The following is a 20,372-nucleotide window of genomic DNA, read 5'->3' on the forward strand; positions in this document are numbered from 1 at the left end:
GACCTTGGACTTCTCAGCCTCCAGAACCATGAGCCAAATAAACTTCTATTGTTTATCAATTACCCAGTCTGTGGTATACTATTATAGCAGCTCAAAAAAGACTAAGCTGATTTAGGGAACCAGTGCTGAGGCCACAGGCAAGCAGCCAGACACTCATTTTATGCAGACCTGGTATGACCTGCCAAGCTCAGGGTGGGTCTCTGAAGAAGTCATGTTGGGGCAAATGCAATCTTCAGTGAGGCATGGAGCTCATAACTAAATATATGTTAGCCCATATTTACATTAGGGATCAGTCAGCACCTCCTGATATGTGCCAAAGATGGCAAGATACCTTGTTGAGGCTAGGCATGGTGGCTCATACCTGTAATCCCAGCACTTTGGGAGTCCGAGACAGGTGGATCACCTGAGGTCAGGAGTTTGAGACCAGCCTGGCCAACATGGTGAAACCCTGTCTCTACTAAAAATACAAAAATTATCTGGGCGTGGTGGTACACGCCTGTAGTCCCAGCTACTCAGGAGGCTGCGGCAGGAGAATCACTTGAACCCAGGAGGCAGAGGTTGCAGCGAGCTGAGATCATACAACTGCAACTGCACTCCAGCCTGAGTGACAGAGTGAGACTCTGTCAAAAAAAAAAAAAAAAAAAAAACCAAAAACAAACAAACACGTTGAGACTGACCAAGGGCTGGGAAAGTGACATGGTGAGGCAAATGTGTAGTGTGTACATCCTGAGAGCTATATGGAGGGGCAGTAGAGTGCTATCTGTCAGGCCTCATGCAATTAGGACGCTTTGGTGGGCCATGACAGACTGGGTGAAGAGATTTGACTTTATGTAAAATGTAAGTCTATTGGAACATAGGATGGGGAAGGGGGTAGTTAACAGAAGTTATAAATGGAATAGAGGAATATCGGTCTTTCAGGAAAAAAAAACAAGCTAAAATAAATGGCACAAAGTCTTATGTTAACACTAAATGAGCTTTCCTAGGCTGGGGTGGTGGTCCTACTGGTTGGTTAAACTACAGTCAGGGTCTATGAAATATGATGACACTATTGCCACCAAACACCTCTATCAGCTGTTCCCAGTGCTACACGCACCACCTTTCTAACCTAGAAGTCTGGAAAGTGGCTGAAGACATGGGAAGAATCTCTGCCTTAGTACTTCGAGATATCAAGTGCTCCAATTAGAAAATGACTCTCATTAGGAAGTGTTCTGAAATGTGACTGAAAGGGAGGCAAACATCAAAGAGCGTGAGGAAGGCACTAGATGCAGAGAAATAGTGGTTATGGTTTAAAGAAAGCAAAGTTACATTAAATAACTGACATAATTTTTCTTATTTCCATTTGCAATGAGCTGAGTCCAAAAATTACTGATTATTAGATATATATTTTTATGACATGTCCTATAATATAGGTTGATTGCAATGTAATAATAGCTAGTGTTTATTGGGTACTTGCTATGTGTCTGGCATTTTGCTAACTATTTGACATGCATTATCTTATTTTGTGCCTACAACAACTCTATAAGGTACATATGTATTATTATTATTTCCATTTATATAGAGAAAGCCGAGAAATGGAGAAATTGAGAAACTTGGCAACACATCCAGTAAAGAGCTGAAGCTTTTATAACAGCACAATACAGGAACAAAAAGGATAGCTTTGGGGAATGCCAGCCTTTCCAAGGTAAGTTATCAAATGTCAGTGTGAACAATCATCAACACTGGAAAAAGAAATTGTTTAATTCTCATAAGCTAACAAAATGAATATGACATACCATTTCCCATGCTACCTAGGTGAAGCATGCAAGTTGAATAGTCATAGCAATGCTAGTATTATTTTTTATTTTATACATATATATTTTTTAATTATTATACTTTAAGTTTTAGGGTACATGTGCACATTGTGCAGGTTAGTTACATATGTATACATGTGCCATGCTGGTGCACTGCACCCACTAACTCGTCATCTAGCATTAGGTATATCTCCCAATGCTATCCTTCTCCCCTCCCCCCACCCCACAACAGTCCCCAGAGTGTGATATTCCCTTTCCTGTGTCCATGTGATCTCATTGTTCAATTCCCACCTATGAGTGAGAATATGTGGTGTTTGGTTTTTTGTTCTTGCGATAGTTTACTGAGAATGATGATTTCCAATTTCATCCATGTCCCTACAAAGGACATGAACTCATCATTTTTTATGGCTGCATAGTATTCCATGGTGTATATATGCCACATTTTCTTAATCCAGTCTATCATTGTTGGACATTTGGGTTGGTTCCAAGTCTTTGCTATCGTGAATAATGCTGCAATAAACATACGTGTGCATGTGTCTTTATAGCAGCATGATTTATAGTCCTTTGGGTATATACCCAGTAATGGGATGGCTGGGTCAAATGGTATTTCCAGTTCTAGATCCCTGAGGAATCGCCACACTGACTTCCACAATGGTTGAACTAGTTTACAGTCCCACCAACAGTGTAAAAGTGTTCCTATTTCTCCACATCCTCTCCAGCACCTGTTGTTTCCTGACTTTTTAATGATTGCCATTCTAACTGGTGTGAGATGGTATCTCATTGTGGTATTACATAGACAACTGTGAAGATAATTATTTTGATGAGTAAATTACTACAATAAATTGTCATACGGGAAATATCCAGATCAAGAATAGAAATTGGGTCCCCACACAAACCCTCCCTTTCCCTCCTCCCATCACAACCCTCTCTCTTCCCCAGAGGAATCGCTGGCCTGACTTTGTGGCAATCACTTTCTTGCTTTTCCTTATAGCTTTATCACCCAAGTGTGTGCTCCCAAATACTATAGTAAATGGTGTCTTTTTCTGCTGTGTCTTTTAGGTCTATTTTAATCTATAGGTCATCCAACTATCCATTTTTTCCACTTTTTTCCTCATAAAAATGATTTTTTAAGAAACCCTAAATACTATAGTAAATGGTGTCTTTTTCTGCTGTGTCTTTTAGGTCTATTTTAATCTATAGGTCATCCAACTATCCATTTTTCCCCTTTTTTTCCTCATATAAATGATTTTTTAAGAAACCAGGCCATGTATGCTGTAATCTGGCAGTTTCCCATAGCCTGGATTCAGCTGATTGCATCAATGCGAATATTATAACTATGTAGCATGACTCAAGCCATAAGGAGGGTATCAGGTAGATTTAAATGGAAATATCTAGTCTGCCACATATACAAGTATATTAAAACTCAGTTCCTCTAACAAGGGCCCCGGGGACTTATTTATTGATTTACAAAAGTTTTGAACAGTTGCTTTGAGGTAATCTCTTAATCTCTTTCTTCCTCCCTCTTCCTTCTTCTTGCTTTTTTTTTTTTCTTTTTAAGGGACAGCATCGTTCTATGTTGCCCAGGCTGGTCTTGAACTCTTGGGCTCAAGAGATCCTCCTGTCTCAGCCTCCTGAGTAGCTGGGACTACAGGCACGAGCTACCATGCTTGGCTTCTTGCTGCCTTATACATACATCTCCTAGAAAATCTGATAAAGGAAAAAATGTCACATTGGATACATAAGGAAGGGAACAAAATCAAGTATAAACAAAACAAAATAGAAAAAGGATTTTTCTTAGGAAGGAAATGGAAAGGACCAGCAAGCAACCTCTACTCAGCCCTTTGATTATTTGAAAGTTTTGCACTATTCTTTCTTTAAGGGATAGTCATATGCAGCTACTAGTAGAAAAGAGATAGATGGTAGCAAAGCAAAATTAATAAAAGGGTAATATAAAACTCAGCATGATTTTTCTCAAGTCCAGCAAGACAGAAGCCTTAATCATTTTCCCCTCGCATGGACTCTTACCACATTGTTTTCAAGCCTTAGTTTCTAGCAATGGCCTTCAGGCATGGAATAAAAGTAGTTTTGCAGTTAAACCCACTTGCTGTAAGATCTTGGGGCAAGATATTTAACACAAGTGTCCTTACATGAGCAGTGAGGATAACACATACCTTTTGAGGTTGAGGGGGGCTCAAATGAGATAACAGCTATAAAGTGTCACATAGTAAATGCATAACAAATGTCAGTCTCCTCACTGTCCTCCTCCCTGCCAAGTTGTATCAATTTTCCCTTAAATATGTTGACTTTAAAATCCAAGCCATTGAAAATCAAAAGTTCAAAGAAAGGGCATAAAAAATCCTGAAGTTTCATCTCACCCTATGCAGAATAAACCTTTCTGACTATGTCCTTGTGAATTTAGACATTTAACAATATGCATAAACTTAAAGAACCAACAACAAAATCCTCCTTCTCATTATTTCCCACATTTTCCCTCTTCTGTCCATTCTCTCTACAAACTTCGCTGGTTTGGCTCTTATTTATTCAACCACATAGCATGAGGGAAGCTGGAGATCTTTTGGTCCAACTTTAATTTTTACCAATAAGGAAACTGACATCCAGAGGAATTAAGTGACTTGTCCAAGTATGCTAGTTAACAGCAGAGGTGACAGACTCTAGCACTGGTTGCAAATTAAATGCCTATGTTTTGAAATTTCACATGGACCGCATAAATATGTACAAGTATTATGTATCCATAAAAATTAAAAAATCTTTAAAAATGCATATGGGGGTCAGTAGGTAAAAGAAAAGAGAACCAAGAGAGCTGCAGCGGGGAGCACAGCTTGCTTTAAACATGAGATCCAGCTCAGTGATCATGCGGGGGAAAAGGCCCGGCATTGCTGGAACTCCTAATATTTAAAAAGATGATGGAAACTTGAAATTTTATATTTAATCTTCTCATTTTTAAGTGTTGGCAATGTATTGAAGACTTTGAAGCCTCTCTGCTGGTCAAACAAGATGTATCTGTAGGCTGGATTTAGTCCACAGCTGGCCAGTTTGAAAACTGAATCCTGCTAGCCTTAATTTAAATTTTTTTAAATTTAATTTGCTTTGATTCCTGCACTCCTGCTCAAAAAAATCTTCAATGGCTCCCCACTGTCTGCAAGGTAAAGTCCAAACTTTGTCACCAGTCCTTCAAAGCAACCCATGACTATATCCAAGACCCCAAACCATATTTCTACCTTATAGTCAGTCTCCATCTTCCACCGCAACCAGAATGATAGTTGAATTGTACTCTAGGAAGGAAAATATTCAGAAAGGCACCAGTCCTGGCCATGAGGGCTGCTTCTGGGTCCCTAAGCTTTTTCCTTTCCTGCAGTGCCCTACACTGTGCATGCCTATCAATGAAACCCTGTCCATCATTAACCATCCAGCTCAAATACCACCTCTCCACAAAACATCCCTGATGGCCCAGCCAAATGCCCCTTTGCTCTGAATTTCCATGGGACTTTATATCACTCACATGACACTTACAACATACTGCCTTGTTTTGGCATTACCTACATAGCTCATTTTCCCAAACACCTAATAATATTCACAGAAGGAAGAGTTTGGGTTTTGCACTATATTGAATATCCCTGTAGTGCTTTGTACATAGCATGGAGCTCAATAAACATCTTGGGAACATTATCCTTCTCTACTGAAAACTTGTGGATCAAACATAAAGTGCCTTTTGTTTACCTGTCACAACTCCATCACTTCTATACTTCTATAGGCCAGGCTTTTCACCAAGCACACAGCGTCTGAGTAGTGCAAAGGGCAAAGACTTCACTTCCCTGCTCCTAAGACATCTTCCCCCACTGAACTACTACTTTTGAGTTGCTTTGAGGTTTCTTCCTCCAGAAGCACTCACACCTTTGTCTTAGACAACATTGATTCTAAGTGGCCACTGTTAAACATGTATTACATGAAAGCATTCCAGGGAAGTTTGTCTTTTTCTATGTAGTAAGGTTAATTGATCAGATTTGATGATAATCACTTTGGAAGGGATAAAGGGACAGAGAACTAGGCTATCAGCCAACACACACTGTGCAAATATTTTAGTTGTGATAAAACCAATGGAGGCAAGCAAATAAGCATCATTAAGCTGTGGCTAGTTAGCAACCAACATTCATTTTGATTGTGGGAGTGACACATTTATATCTCACACTTTGTTTTTCTGTATCCACACCCATTTTCAGCCATTTCTATTCAGTGTCAAAAAAGACAAGAAAAATTAGACTCAATTTTATTTTTACTGGCCTGGACAACACCAGAGGCACTCAATAAAATGCTTCTCGAGTAAACTTTTTAAAAATTAATTTTTACTTTTGCTTAACACAAATGCAATTACTGAAAAGATAAAATACCACCATCTTATAAGAGGGCCTAAATTTGCACAATAATGGCAAAACTTGATACAGTTTTATCTCAAACCAGCAAAGTTTAGATGTCAGCTCAGTAATTTCAATTAGCACATTCTGGATACATCCTTTCTAACCTGTACAAATACACACTGTCAAAGGCAAATTAAGCCTTGCAAACAGTATTTATTTGCCTCACATTTATGTCACATGATAATCTGTGTTTGGATATCAGACAGCCAAGACAATCAAGAATTCCAGGAAATGTCAAAGAAAACTAATGACTACAGAGGTTTCCACTGTGAAAACAATGTCCTGTTTTTGGATGATCACATCTGCTAACCCTCTATTTTTTTTTTTTTTTTAATCAAGAGGGGATAGATAACTCATTCTTAAACTTATATTGGGAATACTTCTAATAAAAGAATAATATAATAGATAGATTCAAGTTCCCATAAAAATGATGCTTTTCTTTGTAATTCCTGTGGGTAGAAGAAAGGAGAAATGGGGTTGGATTACAAACATTGATCAAGAGGCTCTGAGTACCCTCATTTTTCCTATTTTTATATCTTTTATGATGAAATGACTTAAAGCAATACTCTCCCCTCTTGAAAACTAATAAAGTGAACATGCTTATTTATCTTACTTATTCTTTATACAAATATATTCTCTTCTGCATTCAGAAATTAATATTTAGAACACTTCAGGCATAAAAGGAATCCAGATCTTTGATAATTGGTTAAACTCTCCGATTTAGGACAACAGCAACAAATATTTTCTGATTATATTGTTGCAAAAATAAAAGTATCCATGGTTTTGTTAAAGAACAAGAACAAAGTAACACATTTAATGAAAACAGGAGGAAGCCTGGAATCCACCGTGATAAAACTTAGTTGCAATATGAACGCTGCTAGAGGAAGGGCTGGCCAGAACACTTCCTCATCTTAAACCAAGCCAAAAATAAATGGGCGGCTCCAAGTCCCTTTGATTTTGTTAAATGTATATTTCCAGTGTAAACTGGCGTTGTTTAAGTTAACAAAGTTTTCCCAAAGGGCCGGTGGGAAAGAATGAGAGTCCTGCAAATGCAACCTGAGAAAATGTGTTCCTCGCACGGAAATGGAAGAGCTGTGTTGAGATACCAGGGACACACGCAGGGCATCTGCGCGAGGTGACATTAGGCTGCCCTTAATGAGTTTTCTGCTTCTGATAACAGGGTGTCACTTTTTTCTTTTCTTTTAACTGTAAAAGGATCCTGGGGTGAAAATGAGTGAATTGCCCCCACACTCCTAGATTCCTTCCGGGAGAAGAGGGCGGACGCAGGCTGGGGAGGCGGGATCGGGACCCGGAGGTCCCAGGAACGGGTGGCTGAGGTCAAGGCCGAAGACCTGGGCGCCCACTCCCAGTGCCGGGTGCCCGGGAGAGGAAGACTGGGCGGACCCCCGCGCTTCCGGATGAGGCGGACTTAGGTCAATGCGGGAAACATTGCATGTCACCTCTTCCCACTCGGAGAGGCCGGGTGTCTTCCTGAGAGCTGGCAGGAAAGCGGCCGAGGCGCAGAGGCGCCCGGAGCCAGCCGCCCTGGCCGCGTCCCCACCGGGCTGCGGTGGCTGCGGGGCGGCCCTTACCTGGTTCCTGCGGTACCAGTCGCCCGAGAGGGAGCCGTTGCCGGCGCCTGGTGCCCCGTACGTGAAATTCAGTGACAGCTCGTCCAGGGCGGCCGAGGCGGAGTCCCCGGGGCCCGCGGGCGCCACCGCTGCCATGAGGTCTCGCTCCCGGCGCTCGGGCTCCGGCTCGGGCTGCGGCCGCCTCCCCGCCCTGTTGCACCGCGAGGAGGCCGCGCCGCAGCCACTTCCTGCTCGGTGCCCGGGCGAGGCGGGCGCGCCGAGGCCACCTGGCTCCCGCCCCCGCGCGGCCGTAGGTGCTCCCAGCCTGGCCGGGCGCTGCCTCCTCTCCTCCTCCGGTGCGAGGTGTCCTCGGGGAGCCCGGCGGTCTGCGGCCTCCCGGGGCCGTCCAGCTCGCACCGCGCCCTCCTTCCGCTGGGCCAGTGTCTGCATCCTCGGGGCCGCACTGCCCAAGGGGGCAATCCCCGCGGCCGTCCGCAACGGGTCCCCGCGCCTGTCGGGGCCAGAATCAGATCATCTCCGTTGTAAACATTTGTCCAAGTCAATGGAAGAGGAGGAGACACTGACTAACCCAAAGCAGCTATCATCTCCCATCTCTACCTGGCAATTCCAGTCCTCTATCACATATGTAGTGTTTCTCACCGATATTTTAAAAATTGATTGCATATGAAAAAGTCATGAGTTCCCAGAAATATTGTAAGCAATATGAGAAAAAAAGATCCGAGCGATTGAATCTCAGTGCCAGTGCTTGATAGATCCTTAGTAAATATTCCTTGAATGAGGAATGTGGTAGCCATAGGACCCCAGTGTGCGATGACTGGATTGGGTTTGCTTCAGATGGGATCAGGTGGAGTTGCTGAAAAGTTGCCAGCTACTGTATATATGAATTTAGGATGAAAGATAAATGTTGTTATTAATCTTAAGAACTCTAACGAGATGTTCTGGTTTTACCTGTATTCAAATTCTAATGTGTGACCACAAATGATCTGTAGGGTATTTCTCACTTTAAAAAAACCATGATTCTATACTGTTGCCTGAAGGCTGATAGTTGCCTTCTTTTGTTTACACAATGCTGAGGTTTTTCTTAGATAATGTGCTTTGACTTCCATGAGTTCATGAAAGAGAGACCTTCAAGAAAAGAGAATTGCTGCCTAGAAGGGAGCAGGGACAGTTTTCAGTGTTTCTTAGGGGAAATGTGCAAATGAGAGAAAAGAGTGAGAAAAAGTCATTTCACATACAGAAAAAACAAGACATGTCGTCTCAGAAATTGTGTAGTTTCTTGCTTAAGCACTCGAGATGTTCAGTGAACAGCTAACAATTGTAGGTAACTATTCCCAATTTTAAGAGGCTGATTTACTTCAAATAAATATCTGAAGGAAAAAGGTCTCTATTTGTTATATTACATTTTATTTTATTTTTTGAGACAGGGTCTTGCTCTGTTGCCCAGGCTGGAGTGCAGTGGTGTGATCTTGACTCACTTTAGCCTCATATTCCTGGGCCCAAGTGATCCTCCCACCTGGGACTACATACAGGTGCATGCCACCATGCCCAGCTAATTTTTTTTTTTTTTAGATAGAGTCTCTCTCTCTTGCCCAGGCTGCAGTGCAGTGGCACAATCTCAGCTCACTGCAACCTCTGCCTCCTGGGTTCAAACAATGCTCCTGCCTCAGCCTCCTGAGTAGCTGGGACTACACGTGCACACCACCAAGCCCGGCTAATTTTTGTATTTTTAGTAGAGACAGGGTTTCACGGTGTTGGTCAGGCTGGCCTCAAGCTCCTAACCTCCAGTGATCCCCCTGTCTTGGCCTCCCAAAGTGCTGGGATTACAGGTGTGAGCCACCACACCTGGCCCTGGCTAATATTTTTCTATTTTTTTGTAGGGACAGGGTCTCGCAATTTTTCCTAGGCTGGTCTAGAACTCCTGGCCTCAAACAGTTGTCCCACCTCGGCCTCCCAAAGTGGTGGGATTACAGGTGTGAGCTGCCATGCCTTGTCTGATAAGTTTTCTATAACATCACATTCATTGATATTGGTGACTTCATTAATGCTTCTTTCTCTTCACATGCTTTAGGGTGCAAGTAACAGAGTATCCAAATAAAAGTGGCTTAAACAATAATTATCTGCTATCTCCAGAGGAATGTGTCTCTATGTGGTTCTATTATGTCGTCACTTCCACCTTTCTGCTCTGCTATCCCTGAGGTACTGGTCTTGTCCATTGAGGGAGGAAAGCCTTTTCCAGAATCCTCCTGGCATCCTTTCACCTCAGATCCCATTGGCTGGGACTGGGTCACATGCCCATGTTCTACCAGCAAGGGAGGCTGGGAAAGTGATTCTTGGGTATTTCCAACCTAGTGAGAGGTAAGCTCTACCAACCAGGATGAGTGGGAATGCCATGGGGTTATGGGGGAGGGGAACCAGTCAACCCTGGTACAACCACTCTAGTATTTTTCTATCAGCCAGATTGTAAGTAGTTGTACAGTTGCTAACAAGCAAAATACTAAATGGATTGTGTTACTTTCTGGTTTAAAATGCCTTGAAGCCTCCCTATTGCCATAATGAAGTCCACACTTTTTTTTTTTTTGAGACAGAGTCTTGCTCTGTCACCCAGGCTGGAGTGCAGTGGCACAATCTCGGCTCACTGCAAGCTCCGCCTCCCGAGTTCACGCCATTCTCCTGCCTCAGCCTCCTGAGTAGCTGGGACTACAGATGCCCGCCACCACGCCCAGCTAATTTTTTGTATTTTTAGTAGAGTCTGGGTTTCATCGTGTTAGCCAGGATGGTCTCGATCTCCTGACCTCATGATCCACCCACCTCAGCCTCCCAAAGTGCTGGGATTACAGGCGTGAGTCACCACGCCCAGACAATTTTTTTTTTTTTTTAATTTTTTGTAGAGATGGGGTCTCATTATGTTTCCCAGGCTGGTCTAGAACTCCTGGCCTCAAACAATTCAGTGAGACTTCTGAATAAAACTAAGTTTAATTCTTTAAAAGCTTGATTTTTTTCCCTTTAGTTGATACTCTGCTATACTCAACTTGTTCCCATTTTATTTCTTAATTTAAAAAAACATTTTCAATTTCTTTACATTTGTTTAAAACCTCTAATTTTGGAGGAAGATGGTACATGATGCAGAGAAGATTTGATGTACAGCCTACCACGTGGTGTTCTCTAGATTCCAAGATGTCACTGCTGTTGCTGCTGTCCTAGTGTGTGTGGGTGGTTGAAACGAAGAATTCGTGACCAGCGTTCCTTCCCACACAGTTCACAAGGAGGCGGCAGGAATGCCATGTGAACTATTTTGGTCCCAGCAGTGTAGGCAGAGCTGTGGAGATTGTTCCGTACTTTGTGACGGCCTCTACCTCTCGTGGGATTTCTTCAGGGGATATCCTGTTCACTTTACGGGATGCCAAAAGCTAAAAAAAGGGCTGAAACGTGGAAGTCTGTCTTCCTCAGTTAATTTGAAGAACTCTACTCTGGTGCCAAATCATTTACTTAGAGAGCAGGGTTAGATTTTGCCTACCTTGCCTGGGATCAGTCACTGGCAGCATTAACAAAACAGCTTTTTTTTTTCTCTCAACTTTTTTTTTAGATACAGGGGTACATGTGCAGGTTTGTTACATGGGTTTCTTGCAACCAAGTAGTGAGCATAGTACCAGTAGGTAGTTTTTCCACCTGTGCCCTCCTCCTTCCCTCCCCTCTCTAGTAGTCCGCATTGTTGATTGTTCCCATGAATAAAATGTTTTTTTTAAAATTCATCTCTAGCACAATTCAGTCAATACTAGTTGTGTTACAATAAGCATTACTCAAGTTAGGAGCTTTTAAGGGGCCAAAGTAGAGAAGGGTATGGATTAATTCAGGTATCTCACATCATAAGCCAAGTCCAGATTAGAGACTTTGATGAGAGAGGCGAAACTTTGAATCTTATAGAATAACATATGACATCATCTCTATAAACAACAGTTTGGCAATTGTTAAAGTGCAAACACAAGGCAGACTGTCTGGGTTCAAATCCTGACTCCACTGCTTATTTGCTGTATGACCTCATCTAGTTGCTCAATTTCTCTGAGCCTTGTCTTTATCACCTGTAAAAGGGAGATGATAAGGAGTACCCGAAACATAGAAAGTACTCAATAGGTGCCGGCTATAACCTTACAATAGGGAAGCATCCCTTAAACAAATTAAAAAATACAATCCACATAGACAAAGATTCATAAGTGCAATTACAATAAAACTAAGAACTTTTTTTTTTTTCGAGACAGGGTCTTGCTCTGTTGCCCAGGCTGGAGTGCAGTGGTACAATTTTGGCAGGACGAAGTCTTGATCTCCCAGGCTCAATCCATCCTCCCACCTCAGCCTCATGAGTAGCTGGGACTACAGGCTCACACCATGACGCCCAGCTAATTTTTGGGTTTTTTTGTAGAAATGGGGTTTCACCATGTTGCCCAGGCTGGTCTCAAACTCCTGGGCTCAAGCAATCTGCCTACTTGGCCTCCCAAAGTGCGGGTTTACAGGCATGAGCCACCATGCCCAGCCAAACTAAGAACTTTTATACATCAATAGGCACCATAAAGTGTAAAAAGATAAGTCAGAAACTGAGAATCTTAATACAAAAATACTAGCCAGGCATGGTGGCGCATGCCTGTAGTCTCAGCTACTTGGGGAGGCTGAGGCAGGAGGATCACCTGAGCCCGGGAGGTCAAGGCTGCCCTGAGCTGTGATCATGCTACTACACTCCAGCCTGGGCAATAGAGTGAGACCCTGCCACAAAAAACAAAACAAAACAAAACAAAACAAAAGTCAAACTCAGAACTTTTATTTCTCATACATGTGACTGACCAAGGATTCACATCCAGAATATATAAATAACTCCTTCAGGTCAATAAGAAAAAGTCAGACAACTGGTAGAAAAATGGGCAAAAATATAAACAGGTGGTCTTCATAAGAAAAACTATAAATGGCTAATAAACATATAAAATACTTCCATTTCACCAGTAATCAGAAAAATACAAAATAATATCTCCAATGAGAACCATTTTACACCTGCTGGTTGGCAAAAAAAAAAATTTTTAATTTGCATACCAAGTGTTGATAAGGATGTGGAGCAAAAGAAACTCTTATTTAGTGCTGATGCTATTGACACTGGAAAGAGTTTGACAGTATTTGGTAAAGATGAAGATGTACATGTGAATTTCACTCTTATGTACATACCCCAGAGAAACTTCCGTACCTGGACAGCAGAAGAGATGTATAAGAATAACAGCACTCTTTGTAACAGCAAAACAAACAAACAAACAAACAAACAAACAAACAAAAAACTGGAAGCAGCTCAAATGTCCATTAGCAGGAATAGTGGGCAAATGAATTTTGATACATTTATATAATGGAACACAGCAATGAAATTACCTGAATGACAACCACCTAACAGCCACAGCAACATGGATGAATCCCACAAACATAATAATAGCAAATCCATAGAAGATTATATTCAGTATTATTCAAAAGCATGCAAAATTAGACAATATATTGTTTAGAAGTACATCTATCTATATGTGGGAAGACCTAATGAAAAGCAAAGGATAGACCAGGTGCTGTGGCTCATGCCTGTAATCCCAGCATTTTAGGAAGCGGAGGCGAGCTGATCATTTGAGCTCAGGAGTTCAAGACGAGCCTGGGCAACATGGTGAGATCTGTATAGGTACAGTGAGCCGTGATGGCTCCACTGCATTCTGTCCTGGGGTACAGAGTGACACCCTGTCTGAAAAAGAAAGAAAGAAAAAGAGAGAGAGGAAGGAAGGAAGGAAGGGGCAAAAAATGATAAACACAAAAATTCTGATAGTGGTTGAAAGGTTTGGCAACGTTCTATTTTCTAAATTGGGTTATGTGTTATATGGGCATTTGTACTATTATTATTCTTAAAGGTATACACTTATGTCAAGTGTGCTTTTTTATAACCATAATATATTTTACAACTAACACAAAAAGACCCATCCAGAAAAAAACCGAGGTTTTGTGGTTAGAGGTTTGAAAAGTTCAAGATTGGTAGACCTGGATTAAAGTGTGGTCTTCTGACCTTTATCAGCTGTATGACTTTGGGCGAATTCTCTGAGATTAAGTTTCCTAATTCATGAAGTGGGAATGATAATATTTATCTTAAAGGCTTTTTTGAACATTAAGTAATGTGAGCTGTATTTCAGCTCAGTTCACCAAATACTTAAGTTTGTGCCAGGAGCCCAGGACATGAAATTGGATAAGGCATGAGGAGCTTAACTGGCTGTGAGCAGGCAAACATGCCAATAGGTAGGCTCAATGTTACAAGTTAACTTCAGCACAAGGGTGGGAGGAAAGAAAGAAGAAGCAGCCAGCTCAGGTTGGGCAGGCAGGTGCAGCCTGGGAGGGCTAACTAGAAGAGGTGATGACTATTGAGAGCCCTGAGATGAGTTAGCCACATGAAGAAGGGAGGTCAAGGGTGAACAGGGCTTGCAGCAGGCAGAACACAGGCAAAGACAGCAGAGTATGTATGTATCCACATGAAGCAATTCCACATTACCCTTAGGTGATACACTAACATAAGGATAGAGAGGCTGACAGGGCCAGGAAATTGAGGGCTTTGTGTGTTGGATGATCAAGGTCAGTCTTGACTCTTAACGGGGAACCACTGAGTAACTTAAGATAAGAGGGCAGCAGGGCAAGCTTAGAGCTGTAAAATCTCCCTTGTTGGAGGCACAGGTGTGGCTGGGTGTGGTTTAAGGGGAGAAACACAAGATAGGAGACAAGTTAGGGACTGCTATGGCTCAAATGAGGATATATGAGAAAGGCTGGGGAGAAGGAGAGGGATTAAGAAACGTTTAGAAGTAAAATTGGCATGACCTGCTGATGGGGCAGGGAAAGGTGGGAGAAGGGAGAGTCTAAGATTGTTGTAGTTGGGGCTATTAAGTAAAAAGGCAGCACCATTCACTGATGTGGGGAATAGGAAAGAGGAACCAGTGTAGGGGAACCGGAGTTTGGTTTCAAGACTCATTGAATTTGAGGAACTTGTATAATATTCAAGCAGGAAAGGGTGTACAGAATTTATTCTAAGGTGCGCTGGTGAGGTCAGGGCCAGGGAAATAGATCTGGGACTCACCAGCATACAGGTGGATGAGACTGGCCATGGCTAGCAAGTAGCCAATATCTTTTAGAGCAGTGTTCAGCACACTTTTTCTGTAAATGGCCAGATAGTAAATATTTTAGGTTTTGTGGACCATATGGTCTCTGTCACAACTACTCAACTCTGCCATTGCAGCGTGAAAGCAGCCACAGACAACATGTGTATAAATGGATGTGGCTGTGTTCCAATAAAACTTTATTTACAAAAACAGCATGCTCACTGGATTCGCCCCATAGGCCACAATTTGCTGACCCCTGTTCCAGATAGAGTACAGAACACAAGGCCAACAAAAACTGCCTAAGAGGTAAGAGCATGGATTTTTAGGGTTCTCAGAATTCGAGACAGGATCCCAGTTCAAAGGGAAATACATTAATTCCTAACTACAACCTGGGAAGGCAGGGGTGGAGCTGGACTACTGGATCTGGGAACCTGATTGTGCCATCTGGGCTTCATCCTCAGATCAGCTTCACATGGTGAGATTATGGCCACAGGGGCTCCTGATGCCATCCTTAGAGTGACAAAGGAAAGGGGGAGTGTGGCAGATTGGACTACACAGTTCTTCATGCCCCCGACACAGGAATATTTGCCTTGTACATCCCCACCCATTGCTCAGTGACTACAATTTCTCCCACAGAGGCATCTTCCCATTGATGGTGGGCTTGGGCACATGATTTGCTTTGGCCAATAGAAACGTAGATGGAGTGAGGGTGACAATTCCAGGCCAAGGTTTTTAGAGGCATTCCTGTGCTCCTCTCTGAAAAGATAACTCCAAATAGCCACTGGTCCAGGGAGGAAAAAGAAACCTGTGAAGTGGACCTAAAGCCAATCCTGGCTGTCTTCAATGGAGCCATATCTGACCTGTAGACTCTTGGGCAAGAAAATAAATTTAGATTGTTAAAAACCACTGAGATTTTGAAGGTATGTATTAAGCAGCAAAACCAATTGATTAAGGGTATTCCCAACCAGCTTCAGTTAGAAAGTTCAGGGAAAAAAATCTCTGACTGGTCTGCTTTGTGACATGTGACCCATTCCTGCACCAATCGCTGAGGACAGGATTTGGTGGTATGATTGGCCCACCTGGATCATACACCCACTCTATTCAAGGTGATGGGGCATTATCAAGGTGAGGAAAAGGGATGCTGAGCAGATAAAAGCAATTGCCAACATTGTGGAAGACCAGCATAGAGCAGTGCTGTAGAAACCTGGACAGGAGAGAACTACAAAAATGAAGGTGTGTTGAATAAAGCTGTCAGCTGCAGAAAGGGTACTGAGACAGTAAATGAAATGTGTTTATTGGCTTTGACAATAATAGGTGGTCACTGGTGATCTTTTCCTGAGAGTTTCAGTAGAGTGTTGGGGTGACAGTCAGATCATAGTTAACTATAAAATTTCACAAAACTCTAATTCACCATAGGAATGTCAGTTATTACTGTAAATAACCTTAGATAAGGAAGAGGTTAGGAATCAGGGGAGAGCCAGGAGTTTTATCACTTTGAAGCCATAGGAGGCTTCTGGGAAAGGGATGTTGGGATCAGTCCATACTCAAGGGAGACAATGCTCAGAGTGGGGGAAACCCATTAAGGGGAGTACCAAGGCTGCACAGTCCTGGTGTGACCCTCAGGGCCTGAGGCAGAATTGCATCTTTGGGAACCAGACGCAAAGGCAGGATCCAAGCAACGTGGAATTTAAAAACAGCAGTGAGAGATGATTTGAGGGAGGTAGAATAGGCCAAGGGAGGAGAGAGCTGATAAGAATATCTGGTCTCAGGCCTGGAGAAACAAGAACAGATCCAGCCCTAAACAAAAGTATTCAATGGACAAAATGTTAATCTAGTGCCCACCCTGCTTTAAGACTGACCTTTCCTTGACTTATTGTGAAGCCTTTTTCCATAACCCTCCGCAACTCCTGTCCTCCCTCCATACCCCATCCCACCTGCATTTACTGACTTCTGGCTATGCAGGGCTTCCCAAGGCTGTGTCCCATCCAGGCCAGTCCTCCACAGACAGCATCTCTTCCCCTGCCTTGTCTAAAATCATACCGTCTCACTTCGCATTCCTTTGCTCTCTACTTTCAAAGAGTAGTCTAAGAATGAATCCATGCCAAGATATGGACATAATAGATCTTCTGTGTCTATTTGCTTTCTAAATGGACTCTCCTGGCAACACAAGATCTTAACCCAAAGGAGTATATCAGTCATGGTAAGAATTTGGATAGATGGAGGTGGGAAGGGCAAAATTGCCCCTCAAATCTTACTACATAATAGGTTTGTTACTGTGAAGGCTGCTTGTGAATTGGAGAAATATTGAGGGGAATGAGATAAAAACCTTAATTTTAGAAATAAAATATTTAATTTGGGGTGATGACACAACAGATCTTAGATGTAATTGGTAAATGAAAAATCCCCTGGAGTGAGAAATATAGAGGTAGACAAATGGCCACAGGTCAGAGGTCAAGAGGTAGTTACTGGCTAGGCTTAGTGGCTCATGCCTGTAATTCCAGCACTTTGGGAGGCCAAGGTCAGAGGATTGCTTGAGCCCAGGAGTTTGGAGACCAGCTTGGGTAGCATAGTGAGACCTCGTCTCTACAAAATAAGAGAAATTAGCTGGGTGTGGTGGCATGTGCCTGTGGTCCCAGCTACCTGGGAGTCTGAGAGGAAGATGACTGGAGGCTGGGAGGTTGAGGCTGCAGTGAGCCATGATCATGCCACTGCACTCCGGCCTGGGCAACAGAGCAAGACCCTGTCTCAAAAAAAAAAAAAAAAAAAAAAAAAAGAAGTAGTCAGCCACATCATAGTATTATCTTTCCCTTCCAGTTCATAGTTTACAAATACTGTCACCTCTATTATTTCATTTGATTCTTTCAAAAGCTCTGTAAAGTAAGCAGAACATTTGTGTTTTTAGAAAGCATTTTTATGTCTTGTATTTTTATTTATTTTTAATTGATACATAATATTTGTATATATTTATGAGGTACATGTGATATTTTGTTACATGCATAGAATGTGAAATGATCAGGTCAGGGCATTTACGGTATCCATCACCCTGATTTTTTGATCATTTCTATGTATTGGGAACATTTAAACTCTTCTCTTCTAGCTATTTTGAAATATACAATACATTGTTGTTAACTATAGTCACCCTACTCTGCTGTCCAATGTTAGAACTAATTTCTTCTACCTAATTGTATGTTTGTACCTATTAACCAACCTCTCTTCATTAAAATTTGAATTAAAAATTCTTTTTCAGAGTCTCACTCTGTTTCCCAGGCTGGAGTGCAGTGGCAAAATCTTGGCTCACTGCAACCTCCGCCTCCCAGATTCAAACGATTCTCATGCTTCAGCCTCCCAAGTAGCTGGGATTACAGGCACCACCACACCCAGCTAATTTTTTTTTTTTTTTAATTTTTAGTGGAGATGGGGTTTTGCTATGTGCTATGTTGGCCAGGTTGGTCTTGAACTCCAGGCCTCAAGTGATCCACCCGCCTTGGCCTCCCAAAATGCTTGGATTATAGGCATGAGCCACCATGCCTGGTGAAAATTTGCATTTTTAAAAAGCAAAAGCAAACACCTCAGCTTAGAGAAACTAAATTATTTACCTAATGTTCACTGCTGGTTTGTGGTGGAGCCAAGACTTCTGCTGCTCAATGAAGATGTCCAGGTAGAAGCGTATACTAATCAGGGCTCTTCAGAGAAACAGAGCTAATAGGAGATAGGCATACACACATGCACACGCACACAGACTTATGATGAGGAATTGGCTCACATGATTATGAAGGTGAAGTCCCAAGATCTATAGTTGGCAAACTGAACACCCTAAAGAGCCAATGGTGCAGTTTCAGTCTGAGTCTGAAGGCCTGAGAACCAGGAGAGTCAGTGGGGTAGGTTCCAGCCCAAAAGTGGGCAGGCCTGAGTCCCAAGAAGAGCTGATTTTTCAGTTAGATTTCAAAGGCAGGAAATGACCCATGTTCCAGCTCAAGCCATCAGGCAGCAGGGGTTCCCTCTGACTCAGTCTTTTTGTTCTATTCAGGTCTTCAGTCAACTGATGAGACCCACCCACATTAGGGAGCATAGTCTGCTGTACTCAGTCTACCAATTCAGCTATGAAGCTCCTCCAGAAACTCCCGCACAGCCACATCCCAAATAATGTTTGGCCAAATGTCTGGGTACCCTGTGGCCCGGTCAAGTGGACACATGAAAGTCACCATCACAGTGGGGTCCTCAAGGAAAGGAATGAAAGAGACAATCCAGCTTTGCATTTAGCACTGATGCAATGGCCTGTGAAACCAGACGTGACAAACGTGGCAAGTAGAAGTGTCACAGACATAAATTTGAGCATTTCTCAGATTTTTCTTTGCCTGGAGTTTGATCTCAATAGTCATTCAATTTGTCCCTTAGGACAAATTTATTTTCTCTCTTTCTTCTCTCCTCATTCTCCTCCATCACCATTATCATCATCATTGTCACTGTCATAATCAACATCCAAAGTGTATGGAGTGCCTGCACTCACGTGGCTCTGTACCAAGAAGGAATTTGGAATTCATGGAGGAAAATGGATCTGTCCCTTGCTGTAAGTGGCTTAATTCCAGTTTAAGAGACAGAACATACATAAAAAGATAAATAAGTATAAATCAACTAGGAACTCGATAACTAAGTGCTAAATACAGGAGGATATGAATCTTGGATTCCAAAAAAAGGAGTGATTTTCGGGCTGGACAGGGTCTGGAAAAGCTTCAAGGAGGTCGAGGTTCTTGAGCAGGGCCTGAGAAAAGAGTGTGGCTGACGCAAGTGTGACAAGGAGAGAGTATGGCAGGAATATAGAACACCCAGAGGGAAGTGGGAAGTGCAAATGTGTGTGCAGGGACAGCGAGTCATGGCTGGGTGGGCACCCGTGCCATGGAACAGCTTGATGCCTGGAGAGCAACTCCCAGAAACAGCTTTTGGCCCAGATTGCTAATTAGAATTTTTTACTGTGTGTGAAATTTCCAGGATCAGCATGGAGTGTCATCTGCGTCTCCTGCAGGCGTCTCCTCCCAAACACGGCTTCCTAAACCTGTCTTGCCAGTCAAGCCCCACAGCTGCTCTGCCGAGTTATACAGGCTTCCTCTAAAAAGCTGTTCTCCTGGACTTGCATGTGCTTAAAGGGAAGAAAAGCAAGGAAAGCGAAACCCTCCACTTGTTTCCAGGTTCTGAGCGAATCTTGTTTTTATACTATTTGTCCTGTTATCTGGATCCACAGCACTGGTGTGTCTTAGACGATAAGGAAAGCAGGGACTACTCCAGTAGTTCTCTCTGCAGGGCCCTGCTGTGTGCTGTGGCCTCTCTGGGTTCTTCACGAGTGCCTTGGGGTTGTGATGAAAACTACATGTGTAATGAGGCAGAGTAAGCTTTGCCTCCTGTCAACCAATAGGGCACCCCCTA

At 42.7% G+C, this 20,372-nt stretch overlaps 1 protein-coding gene and 1 long non-coding RNA gene across 10 annotated transcripts in view, besides 2 other annotated features; one reads left to right on the forward strand and one right to left on the reverse strand.

Moving 5' to 3' along the window:
- Positions 1-8,048, reverse strand: part of NIPAL2 (NIPA like domain containing 2) — a 104,410-nt gene extending 96,362 nt beyond the window's left edge. For all 9 annotated transcript variants that reach the window (NR_135747.2, NR_135745.2, NR_135746.2 and 6 more), the window contains exon 1: positions 7,816-8,048. Coding sequence is in view for 5 of the 9 variants with exons in the window: in NM_001321636.2 (NP_001308565.1) it covers positions 7,816-7,950 (135 nt within the window). In the remaining 4 variants the exon portion in view is untranslated. The remainder of the gene's footprint in view (positions 1-7,815) is intronic.
- The window catches only part of LOC105375659 (uncharacterized), a 50,787-nt gene extending 31,285 nt beyond the window's left edge, over positions 1-19,502 (forward strand). The window contains exons 5-6 of the long non-coding RNA XR_007061023.1: positions 1,559-1,681; positions 18,982-19,502. This is a non-coding gene — a long non-coding RNA (uncharacterized LOC105375659). The remainder of the gene's footprint in view (positions 1-1,558; positions 1,682-18,981) is intronic.
- Positions 7,568-8,287: a silencer, noted in NCBI's record as "silent region_19396". NCBI's record gives its function as "represses an Ori minimal core promoter by ATAC-STARR-seq in GM12878 lymphoblastoid cells {active_cell/tissue: GM12878}" and the evidence as "EXISTENCE:reporter gene assay evidence [ECO:0000049][PMID:35858748]".
- Positions 18,956-20,155: an enhancer, noted in NCBI's record as "MED14-independent group 3 enhancer chr8:99317371-99318570 (GRCh37/hg19 assembly coordinates)". NCBI's record gives its function as "activates an origin of replication core promoter dependent on BRD2, BRD4, P300/CBP and CDK7 cofactors, and independent of MED14, by STARR-seq in HCT116 cells {active_cell/tissue: HCT116}" and the evidence as "EXISTENCE:reporter gene assay evidence [ECO:0000049][PMID:35650434]".

Source organism: Homo sapiens, chromosome 8 (assembly GCF_000001405.40).
Source record: "Homo sapiens chromosome 8, GRCh38.p14 Primary Assembly".
In the NCBI taxonomy this organism is placed as follows: Eukaryota; Metazoa; Chordata; class Mammalia; order Primates; family Hominidae; genus Homo; species Homo sapiens.